The 21,447-nt window shown below is 33.1% G+C and overlaps 2 long non-coding RNA genes across 4 annotated transcripts in view; both read left to right on the forward strand.

The window, feature by feature from the left end:
• Window positions 1-11,906, forward strand: part of LOC101927281 (uncharacterized) — a 107,092-nt gene extending 95,186 nt beyond the window's left edge. The window contains exons 1-6 of one of the 3 annotated variants that reach the window (XR_007061579.1): window positions 3,440-3,542; window positions 4,332-4,431; window positions 8,224-8,412; window positions 9,082-9,217; window positions 10,190-10,305; window positions 11,774-11,906. This is a non-coding gene — a long non-coding RNA (uncharacterized LOC101927281). Of the gene's footprint in view, window positions 1-3,439; window positions 3,543-4,331; window positions 4,432-8,223; window positions 8,413-9,081 lie in introns of those variants that run through there. The other 2 variants (XR_001746723.2, XR_001746724.2) reach the window with 2 other exon arrangements.
• An 892-nt stretch (window positions 11,907-12,798) lies between these two features.
• On the forward strand, window positions 12,799-15,443 carry LOC124902182 (uncharacterized). The gene is made up of 2 exons (XR_007061580.1): window positions 12,799-12,890; window positions 14,058-15,443. It is a non-coding gene; the product is annotated as an uncharacterized LOC124902182 (long non-coding RNA).
• The last annotated feature ends 6,004 nt before the right edge of the window (window positions 15,444-21,447 follow it).

Raw genomic sequence — 21,447 nt, forward strand, 5'->3', positions numbered from 1 at the left:
GAAGTTGTTGTGGAGGAGAAATACTGAGCATTTCTCTTATTAAAACCCTTGGTAAAATATTCTGAAAGAGAAAGCAGATAGAAGTAGATTTATTATCTTCATTTTAAAATAATTTCAGGAATTTCCTTGGAAGCTGCCTTTCGTGATGTTATTAAGGTCACTCATCGTATTTCCTGAAGTGCTGTTCTTCCTTCCTAGTTTCCTCTTTATTTCCTACTTTATGGCTTTTGTATATTGCTGGGCTACACTCTTTGGCCAAATTTTGTTTTTTAAAACAGAGAATTATAAAAGCAAAAGCTCACGTGAAAGTTAGTGATGTAATGGTTTTATGAATATTAACTAATTTTACCTTTAAACATTACTATGGGATGTGTACTGATATTTTACTTTAACAAAGAAGGAAATTTAGCTAGAAAATCTAAGTAACTTACTTAAGATTCCACATCTCTAACTGGTAGAGCCAGAAATTGAATTCATTGAGCCCTGACTCCAGAATTTATGTTCACTGCTACTATACTTTTCAGGCTTTATGATTGTTTTGATAGTTCTTAATTCCAAGAAAATAAGGGAGGGAGGGTGAAAAACAGGAATAAAGGAAATAAGAAAGGAAGAAAAGAAGAACAGGCAACTGATCTACACTTGTGATGGAAAATTGCTTTTTTTTTTTGCTCAACATCCCAGTTATCTATCATTTTAATGTCACAGGACACAAACTGATTCTTCAGTTTGTTAGAGTATTGATTTCTTTAAATTTCTGCTGTGGTTGTTTCCAAATAAGATATTAATATTTAACAGCCATCTAAAGGAAAAGAGGTAGACAGTTTGACAGAAATTAAACTAGTGAGTTTGGAGGTGGACTGCAGTGGCACCACAGTATTCAAACTGGTTCTTGTTTTGTTCTGTGTTTTTTTGCATTGTTGTTTGTTTTGTTTGTTTGTTTGTTTGTTTTTAACATTGACTTTCTTGCTTTATTTCAATATGCTTAGCGTGGGCTTACTGAAGAAATTTTGAAAAAAAATCATGCACACAGATTTTTTTTTAATTGTTGGCTTCTTCATTCCTACCTTTTCTGGGGGAGAAAAACAGTGTGGAATACATATTTGGAAATAAGTGTGTACACCTAGACTCAGTATGTGAGACATGGACATAATAAAGTTCCAGCCAATTATTAAGCATCAAGGTTACAGAGTTTCAGTTCCTAAAAGCAATGTGACGTTGGAAATAACGAATGCAGATTTCAGTAACTAACCTATTCAACCAAGGAGGAAAAATCCAGATTTTTTTGAATTATGGTGTATTCTAAGGAATGGTATTTTTAACTTTATTTTGAGATATTGTATTATTTTTCTTTCTATTAGGAAATACTCTTTTTACCTTTCCAGTGGAGCTTGTCTTCATTTAGCTTTAAAGCTAACTAGTTTTCTATTTGATATAAGATACTATTTCATTACTATTTTCAGTGCTGTTCAATGAATAGATTGCTTAGCTTACATAATATATTCTCTGTTAAATGATACACCTCAATTTTATTAAAACCTTGATTTACAAAAAGCTGCTTTTGTGGGTTACTTTTTCCTTTAAAGTGAAAAAAACCTAATTCTATTTTGGGAAAAGAATATAGAAGTAGTAGATTCTGATTTTGTAGAATGTTGAGGGATATCATCCAATAGCAATAATAATGTATCCTGTTAAGTATGTTTAAACAGTAGACTGTATGTTAACACTGCTCCTCTTGAAATTACAACTTTCTCTTTACATCACATGATTTATTATGTAAACTTGAGTACACTGACCATACAGATTTTTCTTATCTCTGTAGTAATTCACAAGAATGGCTTTTCTTTAATAATGATAGTGTATAGCATGCCTGTCAAATTTCTAAAATTGATTTACAATTATTCCCATTAATCCTCCAAGCTTACCAATAAGGTAGGTGATGTGAGCTACCTAGCCACTGGAGGTAAGTGAAACAGAAACATGAAAAGTGGCTATTTCTAGTTTCTCCAGTAAGTGGCAAGAACTAGTAATGAAAATCTAAGCCCAAGGAACCAGTTAGTATCTGTGCCTTAACATATTCCTAACACAATAATCTTAGAGTATTTGGAAAACACAATTTGAGGACAATGTGAAGTAATAATAGAGCAAGACTCTTCTGACCTTCGAGGGCACCTTTTGTCTATTAAATTGTTATCCTTACAGAGCTTCTCCAACCCCATCCATTTCATAAAGATCAAGGCATGGTTTTCATAAAAACCGAGCTGGGTCAAAATACTCATGATTATTTAAAACTTTGAAACAATACTCACAGGCCATACTCATTTCTTACTTGATATATTTATAAATATACTTTGACATTGATTATTTTCTGCTTCTACCACTAAACATCTGACTTGTTTAAACTCACATTTGAGCATTTGGAAGCAAGAGCAGGCATGCAAAATATGTGATAGAATGTGATGTCCAAAATAACAAATTTTGAGGCTAATTTTTTTTTCTAAGTTATATATAACAATGCTTAACCTATTTGTGGTTAAGTATCACTGTAAGACTAATTAGATAATAAATTTAGGTAAGATAAATTTTACCAAGAAGTAGAGAGTAATATCTATGATAGAAGAAAAATACAACTTGTATTTATTTCTTAATGGTTGAGATCAATCTTTTACTATGAAATATATTATTTCAAAATATACTCATTCAAAATATGTTGTCATAGCCTTAATTACTTCCTATTTTGTTAAAGTAACTGGGAAATAATTTTGGGTCAGAGTTACAGAATAGTATTGAAATACTCTATCAGACTTTATATCTTTTATGCAATAATTTATGGAGATTTCCTTTCGAGAGAGCAAATTAGCATTCCTAAAAACAAGGGCTAGCTTTTCTTTTGTTATTAACACCTAACATTCACTCTTGAAATTTTATCATAGTTTTACAAGTTACAATTAATCAAACCACTTTGCCACTAACTGGCAGTTGTTGCTAAAGTTTTATGGCAAGTATTTCCATTTATTAAAGGATGTACACTTTCATTTCTCTTGAATATTTATTTATCTTATAATGTTCATCTAACAGCAATTCAACACCTCTCTGCTTCCCTTTTTTGCATAAAGTGGATTCCTGTGTAATCAATAATTTCTAAGAGTACAAAGACTTAAGAGAGCAATGAATTCTCAAAGCTGAGGTTATTCACAGCTCGGCTAACACACTTGTACTAACTGAACAAGTTCTCTTTCCACATTTTCAAATGTGTCTCTGTGTCTCTAACCACTCCTGTCCATTCACCCTCCCCCAATATTATTTATCTTTCCACTCCCACACCCTTTCTCATTGGCATCTTATCTATTCTTACAGTTCCAACCGCCATCTGTTGATATCTTCCTAATCTGTATCTTCAAAATAGACTTCTATTTCAGACTTGTATAATTTAATGGGAAGCAGATGTCTCACAGACACCTCAAGCTCAACGTCCTGTTCCCACCCTCTCACTTTCTATTGAAACTGTCTCTGCTGTCTGTACTCCCTTCCTTGTTCTTTTGCACGTAAGTACGATCATACAAAACCCTATTTAATAGACACGATAAGACCCTTTAATGTCTGTTACTGACCACATTTAATTAGTCACTAAGTTTTGATAAATTACATATCCCAAAATGTTTCTGTTTCTACTTTTTATGTCTTTGGGTCAGTCCCTTATTTGTGTGTGTGTGAACATTAATATAGGATTTCTTGACCTCGACAATATTGACGTTTTGGGCTGGATAATTCCCTGTGGTGTCAGGCTGTCCTGTGCATTGTAGTATGTTTATAGTATTACGGACCTCTACTCAATAGATGTCAGTAGCACTCCCATCTTTTTCAGTTGTGAAAATAAAAATATCTCTAGATGTTGATAATTGACCCCTGAGGGGCAAAATCACCCTTTACTGAGAATAACTAAAATATTATAATACAATTGCTTATTAACTTGTTCCTGCATTTTTTCCAGTCCATCTTCCACAAAAGTTAATTTTTCAAAATTAACTCCCCTGTTTAAAACCTGTCAGTGACTCCACATGGCCTAAAGCCATTGCCCAAATGTCCTTAAGCCATTTATTGCCTCACTGATCCATTTTCTTTTGACTTGTGAATGTTACTCAAAAAGACAAGAGTTAACTCTGAAATCTTTGTATTTAATACAATACATGGTACAGACATCCTAACAAACATTCTTACATTCTTAACGCTAATGTTTAACCATAACTTCTAGGTAGCTTTGACTAAATTTAGAAATATATTTAATTACCCCAAGTCTTTCTTTCCTTGATTTCTTGTATTATATTTCTGTATAGCTGGACTAGACAGAAGACTACAGTTCAATAAGAAGGAAACACATTCATTTTCAGTATTGTTAATAAAGAAGCTTACCTAAAAGAAGGAAATCAAAACAAGGTCTGTAAGCTGTAAATTTTAATTCCTATTCTCCTTTCCAAATTATGTTGAGAAAACAGAGAAACAAAAACAACTGCCCTACAGAAAGGACAGCATATATTTCAATGTACAATTCAGAAGCACCTGCATTAGTTAGAAATGCCATAGCAGTAACCTGACCTATTGTTAGAAATTTAGCAAGTACATTTTTCATTGTTCCCCAGTGGGACTTTATGCCAACCAGTATTGATTGTGAGAGTTTCAAACTTCTATTAGATTCTACTGTCACTTAGTTGGTAATTATTTCAGCCCAACAATAAGATGATTTAGAGTTGTGAAAATAAATGGACGGAGGCTATGCAGACTGGGTTAAACTGCCCAATACTTGGGCAAGCCTTATCTGAGTTCTCTTTCTCCTTTGATATCAGAGCATGAAATCTTCCCAATATAGATATTTCTGTAAGACTTTTGCATTCTTAACTTTTAGTTAGTCATGGAAACCATTGCTTTAATTTCTTTAAAGTATGATATGTTCAATTGCTATAAGAACTTAATGTAACTCAGTAGAGTTCAGAGGGATACCTAGAGTTTGCACAAACATAGACATAAAGTGATGTGAAGCAGGACCTAAGGTAAATGGGAAGGAATAAGTAGGCACTGGTAAAAAGGAGCATACACAGGAATAGAAATGGGATGTCACCTGGTTCCAATAAGTATATAGGATTTTACCTCTTTGAAATAGAGACTAGTAGAGATATTTTGTTTTGCTTCCTCTAACATAGCATTTCTACTAAGCTCCTGTAAGCCATCTATTTCTTCCTCAGTTGGCAAGTGCATTTACAACTTTCATCAATATAGTGTGTGTAAAAAGGGTGGGCTTTGGAGGCAGGCTGCTTATACTCAAATTCCAACTGTACCACTTGCTAACCGTGTGGTGTTGGGTAAGTCATTTAACTTCTCTGTGCCTAGGTTTTCTCATCTGAAAATTGTGGTGGTAATAATGCTACTGATCTCATAAGATTGTGATATTGAATTAATGACCCATGTAAAATGCTTATAACATTGCCTGCTAATGAGCAGCCATTCAATAAATGCCATCTATTACTATCCAGCACAGACTCATACAGCTAAATATTAATACAAAGACAAAGGCAGGTAGCACCTCAGTAGTCAGTCTCAGATGGCCAGGGCATTCCTGACACAAATGGGAACAACTTCAAATAACTCTTCTTTCTTTCTGTTCTACCTTCTTTCAGGTATCTGTTTCCTCTTCATGTGAAATTTGTAGTACTCAGTTGTCTCCTAGTTTACCTTATGGTTTTGATGCCTTCGACACTTGGCCTAAGTTCAGAACTTGAAATAAGAAAAAATAAAGTCAGTTACATCTTTTACTTGTAATTTTAAAAGGTCCTGGGTGATGGCTTTCAAATATGAATACTCCATATTGTGTCAAGATTTTTCTAGAAAAGTTTGGCCAAGGAGCATGGATTTGTCTGCTGTGTTCACTAGCTGTTAACAGATAATTTCTTCCTTTGATTTTTTCCATTCTATTTTGTTCTAAATCATCTTTTCCTCCCTTGTTTCCTAACATCTATTTTTTTTTCACTAACTTGACATTTTGCAACGCTTATTAGACAAACGTTATTCACAGAATTTGGAAGCTTTTGCCTGATACCCTATAGACTTCAGGAGAAAGGTATTATGGAAAATATTACTGTAGTTATTATTAACAATAGCGATAATAGCACACCACAGCTGTGAAAGAAATGGGAGGAAGTGCATCCAAGGGCTTTTGCAGACATTTTAAGGTTCACACAGCAGAAGCTTAGAAATAGATCTCCTCTTGTATTTTGGCCAAACCAAATCTATCTCTCGATTTATGTTAATTATAACTAAAAACCCAATCCCCAAGGTCTTGTTCTTTTCGTCTCCTCATTTAGAGCTCATTCTTTTTCACTGGCTAGTAATTACTGTCCAATGTCCTGACCACCCAGCTGTGCTCTGACAATGTTACCTAGTTTTAGCAATGCCATCTTCTGCTGAGGTGAGCACTCTTTCCTGCTGCTTAGTGACCATTAAATCACCCCACAAAGATGCAAATACCTGGCTCCTTAGTGCAAAAAGAGATGACAGTATAAGTCATCTATTTTTGCATGATGCAAGTAAAACTTACATATGAGGAGCAAATGAATTAGATTTTTCTGGATATTTGTTTCTCAAGATTGTATTTAAAGGTTTAGATCGTATGGCCAGGGAAGGCACCTCTGCAGCTTACCACAAATGGTTCTAAATAATTTTCCAAACAAGTGCTAAATTGCTAAAGGAAGAAATTTCATGTTTCTTAAAAAAGTATGAGAGGAAATAAAACCCTGATACGTGTCACTTTAATAATCATTTAAAGTAGAGTCTGGAGTTCTGTTTTTTAATTGACACCTTCTCTTCATTCTACCATTTGCAAAATGTACAAAAGAAGACAGTCATTACTTTTGGAGCCAACAAATCACTAACTTTCAGCATGACCTATTGACTCCAGGTAAAGCAGCCCCAAAAGTGTGATTTTTAATCATATATAAGTGAGCCCTCATAACCTTATTTCATTTTATCATATCTTTCTCATCTTCAAATTCTCCCCAAAAGAAAGTTAGTTTTCAGCTAGTCACATGATTAGGAATTTAGACACATGATTTAGCCCCTTAAAGAGGAAGATATAAATGACTAAAAATAAAGCTTAGGTATCCACATTTTGAGATGCGTTAGTGGAACCACTTACCATGAAATCACATTTTGGCATTGGTAAATATTATCATTTTTGAAACACTTGATGAGAAATTTGGGGTATAAAATCTGTTAAAGGATTCTACCCTTTAAAGGAAATTTCAGAACGATCAAGCTACTTCTTGTAGCTAAAGCTTTCTCTGTTTGATGGTTCTGGAAGCCTTGTCTTTAATATGTTTATGTTAATTATAGATATCAAAGGTAATTATACAAAGGTAAAAAAGTGAAATATCCATTTATCTGAAGAATGAAAGTTACATTAAGTGGTAGTAATTTACTGTTATTTTCCAAGAAATTGTTCAGCTATTTTCAATTTATGTAAGTTATAGTCTTGATGGAAGATTGTTTCAGCAACTACTTAGGTCAAATGGGGTTTTTGGCTCTTTAGAGCTGCATTGTCCAGTATAGTACCAGTAGCTGTACTTGACCGTTAAGCACTTGAAATGTGACCAGTCTGAATGGCAATTTGATGTCAGTGTAAAATAGACACTGGATTTCGAAGACTTAATACCAAAGAAATGTAAAATATCTTATTAATAATTTCTATATTGATTTCATCTTAAAATAATTATTTGGATACAATGGGTTAAATAAAATGTATTATAATTTCATGTGTTTCTCTTCATATTCTCAAGGAAAAATTAAAATTTTAAATGTATATCTAACTCATTATATTTCTATTAAATTATTCTGCTTTGGAGAATTAAACATTGTTGACAGCAAAGATCCCAGGAGAAAGAAGAGAAAAGAATGAAGAGGACAATATGGGTTTGTGTCCAAATGCATCTCTTTATTCTGGTATCTGAACAATATATAGAGAGAGCTACCAATAGGAGCAAAAAAAACAAACAAAAACAACAACAACAACAAAAATAAAACAAAAAAACCGTTTTCACGAGGAACTTTGAGGATACAATCATCTCTGCTTGGGAGCCACTGCCACAGAATACAAAAGAAATGAACATGAAGAGGTTTGCATTTTTCTTGCTGCACATTAGGCTATTAAACATCCTGCACACGTTCTGTGGCTTCTTTCAGATAATCTACACTGCAACTAGGGGAGGCTATTGAATGTGATGGTCCCCTCAGATGCCTAGAGGAAGATGAACAATGGTAATCAGATATCCTAAAGTTATCTTTAGGGCACTGGCAAAATAGCAGCAATGCCTGGTGGAAGCTGACTTTGTGCATACACATGAGAGCCCACAGAAAACTTCAAACTTCATGGTGAGCTGCAGAAACAATTTGGGAAGATAGTATGAAGAGCCAAATTCCTATTGCCATTATGTCACTCCATAGGTACCTATAAGCTAGGGAAACTTGGAAAAAAATTAGAGTCCCCAGATTTACTCTTCAGTGGTCAAAGTAAGAAGGAATATTGAGATTTGAATTTTAATCACTACCTTCTGTTTTCTTTCAAACAATAATTTTCAATTATCATTAGGTTTTTTTTTTGAGCTACTAGCTGCTATTTTAAAATAAAACATTACTTTTGGATAACTTATTTCTTTTCAACAATTGAAACTTTATTTTCCTATACAATATTTGGGAAAATTCATTTCTCCCTGTGGGTTTATTTTGTTCCATTTGTTCTCCAGTGCTGGGCCTGGTTAAGAAACTTTTCTTTGACCTTTTTGGACATTTATTTCTCTCAGCTCCTCTTACAATTATTTAAGGCCCAATTCTTAGTGTAAGTTCCTAATTGATGCAGGTAGTTGAATGAAAATCACCCATTGCCACTCCCCCAGTTCGCTTTCTGAATTGGAGAGAGAGGATAGCTGGAGGTGTTGTCCCTGTCTGTGGATGTGGTGGGGAGGAGTCAGAAAGTGGAAACATGGACATATTTTTGTTAGAGCTCTAAATCTAGTGATACATCATTGATTTTGTCTCTGCCAGGAAATAAAACCTTCAGCTGCAGCTAAGAATTTGGAGGTTACTGAAGGAGGTTACTTTTTCAAGAGCAGAAGTAAGGATTCCACTGAATTTGCTCACCAAAGATAAGTCAGCAAAGAAAACTTACTGAAGAATACAGGTTGTCTACTGTGTTTTTCTTATTTTTTTTGTGGAGGTTATTTGATCATGTTTATTTGAAAATTGACCCCTATATGACAACCCATTCTGTTGAGTTTATTGTTAAAAGAGCAGGAATGATTAATGACTATAGTGAAATTATGGATTCCTATTGTTGCTAAGCTAATATTGTAAGAACCAGCTAAATCTTATAATGTATGATACATTTACGTGTGGCATTCTTTGGTATAGAAATGATTGTGTAAATGCTGACGCTATGGGGTTTACCTTCTGCCTAAATCAACATCAGTGCTAAAAATACATATAAATAAGGTGAATATTTTGAATTTATTTAAGGCCCTTCTCCAAAAAAGAATAATAATTTAAATTTTTTTGTAGAACTATGAGAAAAGCTAACTAATTTGCATAAACTGAGGAGCACAATTGGAAATAGAGCAAAATTATTTATTATTTTTAAGTGAATGCAAGTTTATTAAGAAAGTAAAGGAATAAAAGAATGGCTACTCCATAGGCAGAGCAGCAAAAATTATTGAATTTTTAAGTGAATATAATCATATTGCTTTGACTTATTGTCATCTATTTATAAGAAATAGCTATTCCACAATCTTCTTAATGTTTAAATATTTTGTAATAAACATATTAATATTGTATATTATATGTTATTCATATATATTAATAATAACTAATAAATATATATTTCTTATGATGTACCTGATATTGGAGTAAGTATTGAGCCTGTGAGGTGAGTAACATTATTATGTGATTTAACAAATGAGGAAACTAAAGTCCTTAAAAATGGTGGCTTTTGTTGACATATGTTGTTTTGAATGCTTTCCTTCCTGTTCCCCATGATTTGGCAGGAGTTCCTTGGGAAACGACTCCTCCACTGAATGCAATCAAGTTAAAACTATCAAGCCATATACTTTTCTGCCTTCTACAAGAATAAATGATGGTCAAATGTTCTTTCTTTCAGGAACATAAATCTTAAGCAGGCTTACATAAGGAAGGGAAGTGGTTGAATCTGAGGTAATTCCATGGTGGACTTTGAAGAAAGCCTTCCATGAGTTCCCAGTCCATATCCTCCAAAAGGTTTCTTGGATATGCTTTATTTATGCCTAATTTTCCAGTTTTCTCTTTAATATTGTGTGCTCTAATATTTTATTCTCTCTCTTTTTTTTGCTTCACTTAGTTAGAATTTCTTTCAGCCAATGAAGAATTCTATTGAGAAGCATGAATCTGTAATTTTGCATATTCCAGAATAGTTATGATCTAAACATTACATCCTGCTGTATCCCTAAGTACTTGAAATCTGGATATTCCAGTTTCAACAACGAGATCTTAAAATTGTAATTCCCATATCATGTTATACATAAAGTACCAGGCGATCACTGTACTTTGGTAGCCTACTTGCAGGCTTTGAATTATTATGTTGGAAAATGTGGTCACTTTGAGTACATTGCCTTTGAATCATGAGTAGCTGGAGATTAATTATGTTCTTCCAACTTATTGGGCTTTGTGACCTTTACTTATTTATTCATTTATTTGGTACATTTCCTTTAATGATTTCAACTTCTGTTCCTGTGACCTGTACTGCAGTCTTTCCCTTTATATGCAAAGATTCTGCAATCATTGGATATTTTTCCATAAGATTTTTAAATTGAGATGCAATTCACATACCTTTGCATAATTTTTATTATTTTTAAAATGTACAATTCATTGTTTTTTAGTATAGTATATTCACAATGTTCTGCAACCATCATAACTGTCTAATTCCAGAATATTTTTATAACTTCAAAAAAACCCTATTCCCATTGACAATCACTTTCCATTCTTTTTTCCCCCAACCTCTACAAATCACTAATTTATTTTCAATCCAGTTACACTGTTTAAATATCTTAACATTTTTCCTTTTATAAGACAATTGTTCTTTTATTTCTTCAACTTATATTAAATGCTTAGGCATTCTCTACTTTTATCCACTGACAAAAAAATCAAGACATGTTTTCCTAATAGCAATTGAAAGAGATAAAATAACTGCAAAACATTTAATCCCATATTTTTTTTCAGACCTCCTTAATTCTCCTTTTAAAATTATTAATTTATTTATGAGCTTGGGAAATTGTATAACATTATGATTGAATTTTATCTGATTCTGGACAAATAAAAAATGACAACAGATTGAAAAGATATGAAAAGTCAGATTCAATAACCTTCCATATAGTCATTTGGGTTTTTTTCAGCTTCCAATCCCACACTTCCTTGACCTAAAATAGATAAGGAAAGTCTCATCTTTAATTAAACAACTTGAAGTAATTTGGATTTTTTTGAATATACACTATTTCTCATGATCTTTTTAAGGCCACTTCTGAAATAAAAATATTTTATTGCAAGCTTTGGATAAATATGCAGTTAAGAAGTATGACATAATTATGTCCATTTACCCATGTATAGTTATCAAGTAATAATTATTGTTTTCCCCTGCCTATTCTAGAAAAGATTTTAAGTAGCTGTGTTTTTAAATTTAGTAATTTTTAACTTGAATCTCCACTGTTCTCAGACAGCATATCAGCTCCTGCTTTCCAGACAAACTTCCTGGGTCTTGGGAAGAAGAAAGCCTCAGACTAAGAACTCTCTCTGGACTCAGACAGCCTGAATTCAAATCCCATCTCTATTCTTACTAGTCATATGAACACAGGCAAGTCATTTAACTTCTTTGTGTCTCACTTTTCTTATATATAAAATGGGAATAATATAACTTACCTAGAAAATTTGTTATCAGTATATGAATTAATAAGAGTAAAGTTATTAAAATTGTGAGCAATATATTCCAAGGGCTCAATTTATACTATCAATTGTGAATTAGAGCTATCCTTTCTTATCTCATCAACTCAATTATTGAGACAGCAACAGTTTAATTAAAATACATCTAAACCGACCCCACACCAAAAATTAGTTGTTCAACAATTTAGTTGAACAACTGTTAAGTGATGAGCATGTTGATATGTTCTTTCCTTGCTTTCTTTCCATTTCCTGACAACCCTGTAAGTTGGGTAGTATTTTCATTTTACCAGTGAATAAGCCATCTTTCCGAGTGGCTAAGTAACCTGCTCATGGCTTGGATATTCTTTACATTACTTTCTTTCCAAAAATTCCCCTGTTGAAGTGATTCCTAATGACTGCGAGAATTCCAAAAGCCCAAATAAATAAACTTTCTGGTGTTTTTAAAGTCTCATTCTTAATGTGATCTCAGATTTTGGTCCTATCATTTGGTCTTGTCATATCTTCTTTTTAGCAAAGTTTAAGTAGGAGAGCACTGTAGGACCACGTGTAGAAAGCATATAAAAACCAGAAAAACAATCATATAAAATTCATTTCAGGAAGCAAGAACCTATGTTTTTAAAAATCTGTCACACAGCCAGTGTTAGGGTTCTTAAGGTCTAAACTAAAGGTATCTCATTCAAAATTTTAATTCTATATTTATTTCTAAAAATGGAGAAGATAGTGAAGAATGAAAGAGAAGCAAAACAGATCCTGCAGGTTGTGCTCACCACGGTGAAAATCATTATTTGCAACTCCCACAGGAGAACCATATCCATTCAGCTCACTTTGGACCACCTGTGGAGCCTGATAACCAGGGAACAGAGAACCTGTTGAGATCCAAATTTGTGTGCCAGGTAATAAACTCCCCAGGATAAGCATCACACATCATCCTAAAGTAGCAATTTTACGAACTGTAAGCAATTTAGAACAGTCTTTATATTAAAATCTATTAAAGTCTTAAAGGAGCACATATATTGAATAATTTTAAAAAATATAACATCAGGGTCCCCGTTGGAAAGAGCTATTATACCTTGTATTAGTCCGTTCTCATGTTGCTAATAAAGCTACATCTGAGACTTGGTAATTTCTAAAGGAAAGAGGTTTAATTGACTCACAGTTCCACATGGCTGGGGAAGCCTCACAATCATGGCACAAGGCAAAGGAGGAGCAAAGTCACGTCTTACATGGCAGCAGTCAAAAGAGAGCTTGTGCAAGGGAACTCCCATTTATAAAACCATCAGGTCTTATGAGACTTATTCACTAACAAAGAAAAGTATAGGGGAAACTGCCCTCATGATTCAATTATCTCCACATGACCTCATGTGGAGATGGACATGTGGGGATTTTTACAACTCAAGGTGAGATTTGGGTGGGGACACAGCCAAATTATATCATACTCTGAAGTATTTAATTAAAAAATTAGTGAAGAGACTGTTTACAGAAATGGGTATAGAACAACAAAGGATGGTGAAACACCCAGGAACTGTCAACAGTAGGGAAGTCATTGCCAAATTCAGAGGGATTATTTCTCACTCATCTTTACATTAGTGTCTAGCACAGTTACCATCACATGATTGCTATTGTGATCATCATTATAATTGCTATCATTTAATAAATGCTTCCCATATCCTGGCCACTAAGCTAAACTCTACATATACCATTTCAAATGTTCTTAGCCACTTTGTGAATTGAGAACTATTGACTATATTTTATATAAGATGAACAATAAAACACAAGAACCAACTAATAGGTAGAAGGTCATATAGGTAATCTGAAACAGAATTAAAAATCAAGCTTCACTGACTCAGAGGTCTGTACTATCCACGTTATGATAAGTAAAATCCTGTTTTAGACATCAAATAAATGCTTTCTACTGTATTTACTGTTAAATTTTTACTATTCCAAAGACCAGTAGACCAGTAGTTTGCCATCTAAACTTCAGGAAATTGTTAATAATATATAACTCTGTCATTTCTCTTAGTGATTGTGAAAACACTGTTTATGTTTTGTCTCCCAAACAGATCACAAACTCATCTGAAGCAGATGCCACGTGTTACACTGTTATGTCTCTCAGAGACTCCAGCACTTTGAAAGTATTAGGCCTTGCTTATTGAGATGAATATTTTTTTCTAGGCATGTCCCAAAGTTCTCAGCATAGCTACAACCCTGATTTTCACAGGATTTTCATTAAAATTAGGTTCTAGAGCATTACTTCCCTAATGTGCAATGCAACTTACGTTTAGTTTTCAAATCAAAATTAGTTTTGTTTTTCCACTGTCTTTGTCTTTGAAAATATTGAACTTGGGATTTCCAAAATTATAATTAGCAATTATTTTTACATATCTTTTATATACATAACTTTTACAATGGCTGCCATTATCATGTAGGTTCTTAGGAAGTGTTTCTGATCCTTGTAAATAAAAGTGAAAGAAGAAATCTTTACTGCTTGCTGACCCATGTGACTAACCTTGAAATCAGAGAGGCAGATTCATTTAAAACAAACTTGCAAACTGTTAAGCAAAGTACTGAATCTCTGTGACTTGACCAAAAGTAATTCAGACTTGACTATTCCAGGCTCCCTTCTATCTCTGTAGCAACCCATGCATCATAGACTCCAGTTGCAATGGATGGTCAAGGAATCTGCTGTGCCTTTTGAGTCTCTCCATTTTATATTGCCAAATTTATCTTCCTTTAATACTTCACTTCACATAAGACACTAAGATAAACAAGGATGCAACTCACTTATATTTCAAAATAGTACCTAGTGGTTAAAAGTACTTGTTCTGAAAGCAACTCTATTTTTCTAGTTCTAACATGTCTCCAACTAGTTATCTCACCTTGAGCTTGGCACATAATCACTCCATCTTACTTTTGCATCTGTGACACAAGAAAAATACCACCCACCTCAACATAGATCTTATGAAGATTAAAATAAGATTATGAAAGTAAAATGCTCAGCACAATGTCTAAACGAAAATAAATGCTCAGCAAGTAGGAGCTACTATAATTATTATCCAGATCAAATATTTTCTCCTCTATGAAGCTTTCTTATTCTTCCCCAGCTGGAATTACTTATTTTCTTCCTTGCTTTCTACACCACACTTTAGTCACCACCATGCTGGCACTTGTCTCACCGCATTATAATTATTTATGTGCCTGTGTTCCATAACCAGAATATGGGACTTAAGCTTCTTTATACCTCCAGCATAATTGTTTCATGTGTGCTTTTAGGTAATGGAGTAAAATGGATGAATGAGTGAATGCGACTATAGTACTAAATGCTCTTAGATAAAGATGTAATTATTCTTAAGTGATAAAATTATTCGAACATGAGTAGTTCAGATAATGAGAGACTGTCATAGAATTACTTGATAAAATCTAGTCAATAAAATGGCTTGGCAATATAACCTTTATGATTTCTTTAAACAATCATTCATTTCTTTCTGAAGATGAGAAGAGGAGATTCCTTCTCCCATCTTTATATTTCAACAATGATTAGAAAACAAATTGATCTCTGGGATCAGTGCCCAATACCATTAAAGTGGTATACATCTTACAATTCTTAATTAATTTGTGGCATACATATACCAGTCTCCACAGCCAGCTTCATCTGCATACAGCAGCATAATCACTTTTTTCCTTATAGTAAAGACATATTATGAGTCATCAAAGTCTTCTCCGGGGGTTGTGGTTATCATCTGGTAATCACACCCTTGGGAGGTTAAAAACACTTATCTTTGGATCATGACTTGCAATGCCCCAGGGGTGTGATTATCTCAGGCAACTCACACTTTCTGTCATGCCTAATTGCTTAATTATTATAGCTGCAAGTTCACACCACCATACAGGAACTCATGTTGTGTCAGCATTTCCACTATAAATTCCTTTTTCAAGAGTCTATAACTCAGCCATAAAAAAAAAAAAAAAAAAAACCTATGGTCCATTGAAGCACTGCAGTAAGAGTCTTATTCCAGGAAACATTTCTGTAATAGGTTAATTGTATCTTAAAAATTGGGTCCTGATTCTCATAGTTAGTTCACCAAAGAAATAAATGCTAATTAAATGTCTCTAAATTATATATTTTTCTGTATGGCTGGGTAAATAATGTAAATCCTAAAGACATAAATATTATTTTTTAAATATAACAAGAATGGCTCATACAATTTCCAGTTTTTTGGAAATACACTTACACATATTTATAAAATATTATATAAGTAGAATGAGCTAAACCATAGTTAGAGAACATTGTCATATGCAATCATGTACTACATAATATTTCAGTCAGTGGACAGCATGTGGCAGTGGTCACATAAGATTATAACGCAGCTGAAAAATTCCTGTTGTCTAATGACATCATGGCTGTCATAACTGTCATGGCCGTCATGGCCATCTGAACATTGTAGTACAATGTATTCCTCATGTGTTTGTGGTGATGCTGATGTAAACAAGCATCTGCACTGCCAGTTGTATAAAAGTGTAGCACATACAATTATGTACATACAATTATGCACACACAATTATGTACAACACATAATATTTTATAATGACAATAAACAATTTTGTTACCGGTTTATGTATTCACTGTACTATACCTTTCATCATTATTTTAGAGTGTACTCTTTCTACTTATATATAAAAAAAAGTTAATTGTAAAACAGCCTCTAGCAGGTCCTTCAGGACATATTCCAGAAGAAGGCATTGTTATCATAGGAGATGACGGTTCCATGCGTGTTATTGCCCCTGAAGACCTTCCAGTGGGTCAAGATATGGAGGTGAAAGACAGTGATATTGATGATCCTGACCCTGCGTAGGCCAAGGTAATGTGTGTGTTTGTGTCTTAGTTTTTAACAAAAACAGTTTAAAAAGTTTTAAAAAATTAAATTTTAAAATTAGAAAAAAAGCTTATAAAATAAGGATATAAAGAAAAAATATTTTTGTACAGTTATACAATGTGTGTTTTAAGCAGAGTAACTATAAAAGAGTCAAAGAGTTAAAAATTTTGAAAGTTTATAGCATAAAAAATTATAGTAAGCTAAGATTAATTTATTATTGAAGAAAGGAAAATTTATAAATTTAGTGTAGCCTAAGTGTACAGTGCTTATAAAGTCTACAGTAGTGCACAGTAATGGCCTAGACCTTCATGTTCATTCACTACTCACTGATTAACCTAGAGCAACTTCCATTCCTTCAAGCTTCACTTCATTTTCAGTGCCTTATATAGGTGTACCATTTTTATCTTTTATACAGTATTTTTTTACTATCATTTTCTATGTTTAGATATGTTTAGATACACAAATATTTACCGTTGTGTTACAATTGCCTGCAGTATTCAAAACAGTAACATGCTGTATAGGTTTATAGCCTAGGAGCAATAGACTATACCATATAGCCTACGTTTGTAGTAGGCTAGACCATCTAGGTTTTGTAAATACACTCTATGATATTGGCACAATGACAGAATTGCTTAATGATGCATTTCTCAGAACATAATCCCATTGTTAAGTGATGCATGACTGTATATGTAAGTTCCAAACCTCAGCCAAGTATTTTCTTAGCTCATATACTGTTAATTATCTAGAGGATTGAGTAAAGAGCACAAAACTAGATAATGGGAAACAAAATGTAGCCCAAACACTGTGTAGTTGTATATGACCAGGTGCCTCAGACTGATGAATGTCTCAAAGCCTAGAAGAGGCAGACTCAGGCAGGTCAATTCACAAGAGCCCCAAGATTATAAACTACTCAACTAACGCACTAATATAAGAGGTATATTTACCCTGGTAGCTGTAATTCATCCATAGTAACACCATCCCAACAACAGCATTTTTGAGATGCTAATAAAATGTTTTGCTGTAAGTATGGAATCAGATCAAATAAAATGAGAATGTTGAGTGGTATTTCATACAGATTGTGCTGAGAGCTAAATCCTCTTGTTTTTTGCACTGGGGGATACCCCTCTTCTGTTACCGAGCAGTCACTAGAATTTCCAGAATTTGACCTTCAATTTTGTTATGCTACAGCCAATGTGACTCAATGTATGCATTTGAAAAACATATGACTTGGATTGAAATCTCCCAAGAAATTAAAAGAAAATAAGTTATTACTAATTCCTTAATTCCTCACTCATCCTTTCAGTTTATTTTTTTAAGTTTCTTAGTCATCTTTTTCTTTCAAGAGGTGCTGCAATTTCTTCATTAAATGCCACAGAGTTGATGAACACCTGACCCTCCAACAGAGACCATCTTTGCCAGACTATTACTTTTTATATCAGTCCTGTCTTAATCTATATTTTTTTCTTCAAAAAAACCCTGTGTAATGTTTTATAGAACTTAGAACAAAATACAAATATCACATTTTCTTATAAACAAAACTAAAATATCTCTGGATAGTAAAAGTATGTGTCCACTTTTCCTCACACAAAATGAAAATGGTTCTCCTCATATGTAATCAGACCATCTCACATTGTTGCATCCGAGATCAATAAATGCAAGTGAATTTCATGATTTTTCTTAAAAAGTTAAAATGTTGAATCCTGTCTTACTTTTCTTAACACATAAGCATATGCTCCAAATGTTTTGTTTTGTATTGTTTTTGTGATAATAAAGCACTAAGTAATCCATCGGGGAAACAGAAGAAAAAGAAAATCAAAATAGAAACTCAAAACTTTTTTCTTTTTTATTATTTGAAATATAAATTTTGCTGTAACTCCTACTTGGAAAAGTGTCTAATCACTTTACAGGTATATATGTTGGCAGCACCCACTACACAGTTATTAGTGATAAGGTAACAGCAGATGAAAACACAAAATGAAAACATTTTGTGACTGTGGAGATCAAAGATGGTTTCTTACAAGATGAAAGAATAACAGTTGCTAAATGTTAATCAGTATAGAAGCCAATGTGTATATGTGTTTATGTTAATGTTTTATTTTATGTTGTGTTATAAAACAAAAAGAAAAAAATAGATTCGCCAGTATTTGAAGATGATTTGGAAATATACAAATGAAAAAAAAATGAGGTATTGAGAGGAAAAATATGTGGCAAAATATTACACAACTATTCTGAAGCAAAAAAGTTATGACTTTATCTTGTTTAGTATTCTTATTTATGCACAAAAATATATCAAGAGTGTTGATGGTAGACATTTTTTAGGTTAAGTAAGAAGGAAAAATAGGTTATTTACTACTACTCTGTGAGGCTTTTAATAGGGTGAGAGACTTCCTAATAATATGTGGTTAAACATAAAATATAAAGTAGCCGGGATTTTTTAAATACAAAGAATTTATTTTTTAACGTTTTGGGGGGTCTGGAGGTCTGGCAAAAATAAGTATCTATATATGGATACACACAAAATTTAGCGTGTAATTTCAGAGGGCTCATAGATTCTTTAGCACTCATCCAGAGGCATAAGTTAAAAACCTCAACTACACAGAGAAAGCATACAATATATAGTTGTTACTGATGACTAATGTAGGCAAAATCTGTCCCCCCTGCTCCCCCACAAAGTGGTTCGGGAAGATAGTACTTACTTGAGTTTTGATAAATGTATACAGCTATTAAACTGCCACCACAAACATGATCTTGGACATCTTCATCACTCCAAAAACTTTCTTCATTCCCCTTTGCAAGCAATTTCCACCCCACCACCAGCCCTAGATAACCCAAGACCTACCTTCTGTTCTTGTTAATTAGATTTGGCTTTGTCTAGAGTTTCATATAAATGAATTCATACAGTTTGTACTCTTCTCTGTCAGCTTCTTTTGCTCAACATAATGTTTTTGAGATTCATCCATGTTGTTGTATATAACAGTAGTTTGCTCTTTTTGTTGATAGTAGTCCAATGTATGGATATACTATTGATGGATAATTGTGTTACTTTCAATTTTGGGCTATAACGAACAAACCTGCTATGAACATTTGTGTGTAAGTTTTTGTGTAAACAGATGTCCTCATTTTCTTGGGTAAAGATCCAGGATTACAATTGTTAGGTCATATGATAAAAGTAGATTTAACTTTAGGAGAAACTGCCAAAATGTTTTCCATAGTGGCTGTGCCATTTTACATTCCCACCAGCAATGTATGATAATTCCAGTTACTTCACATCCATGCCAATACTTGCTATTGCCGGTCTGTAAAATTCTAATGGCCAAAATTAAAAACGAAAGGGGACATATACTGCATCTCATTGTAGTTTAACTTTGTATTTCCTTGATGGCTAATGATGTTGAATGTCTTTTTATGTGCTTATTGGCCATTTGAATATTTATTTTTCATGAAGAGTCTGTTCAAATATTTTATTCATTTTAAAATTGGATTGTGTGTCTTATTTTTGAGATTTTAGAGTTCTTTATTCTGGGAAAGGATCCTTGGGAGATATCTATATCTATATCTATCTATATCTATCTGTATCTATCTATATAAAATTTTATTCCAATTTGAGACTTGCCTTTTCATATCGCCAATGATAAATTTTGAAGAGCAGTTTTTCATTTTATTTTATCAATTCATAAATTAGTCTAAATATTACTATTTTTCTTTATTTTACATGCATTTTATGTGCTTCCAATAAATTTTAGCTAACTCAAGGTCAGACAGATTTCCCCCTTTGAGAGAGATAGACAGAGAGACAAGAAGAGAGAGAGGTAAGTTAAGGTTTGAAGTTCATTTTTCATCTTATAGATATCCAAATGTTCCAGATCAATTTGTTGAAAAGACAGTCATTTCCCCATTGAGTTGACTTTACTCCTTTAGCAGAAGTCAATTGACAAAATATTCATGGATCTATACTGGCAGACCCTTGATTGTCTGCCATTAATCTGTTTGCTTAAACTTACATAAATATTATACATTTTAGTATACTCTTATCTTGATAGTAAATTTTAAAGTCTGGTAGTACATTCCTGAACTATGTTCTTTTTCAAAATTATTTGAATTTCTGTATGAACTTTAGAATTAACTCATTACTTTATAAAAAATGCTTTTTAGAGTTTCCATTGGAATTTTATTGAATCCATAGATGAATGTGGACTTTTGTTGAATTCATGGAATTGAATGAACTTCTATTGAATCCATAGATAAATGTGAATAGAATTGACATCTGACCGACAATAGTCCTCCAATTCATGGAGAGCATATATTTCACCATGTACTCAGGTCTTGAAGTTTCTACCAGGATTGTTTTATAGCTTGCAGTGTATAGGTCTTTCAAATGTTTTATTAAATCTATTCCTCAGTATTGCTTATTTTTTAAATGCTATTGTAAATAGTATTAAAGGTCCATGTCCATTTTTAATTGTTTGATACTAGTGTATAGAAATAACATTTGATTTTTGTATACTGATTTATTATCCTGTAACTTTGCTTTGCTAAACTCAGGTACTAAGTCTAGTAACTTTTGGTTTATACTTTTTTG

Source organism: Homo sapiens, chromosome 9 (assembly GCF_000001405.40).
Source record: "Homo sapiens chromosome 9, GRCh38.p14 Primary Assembly".
Lineage (NCBI taxonomy): Eukaryota > Metazoa > Chordata > Mammalia > Primates > Hominidae > Homo > Homo sapiens.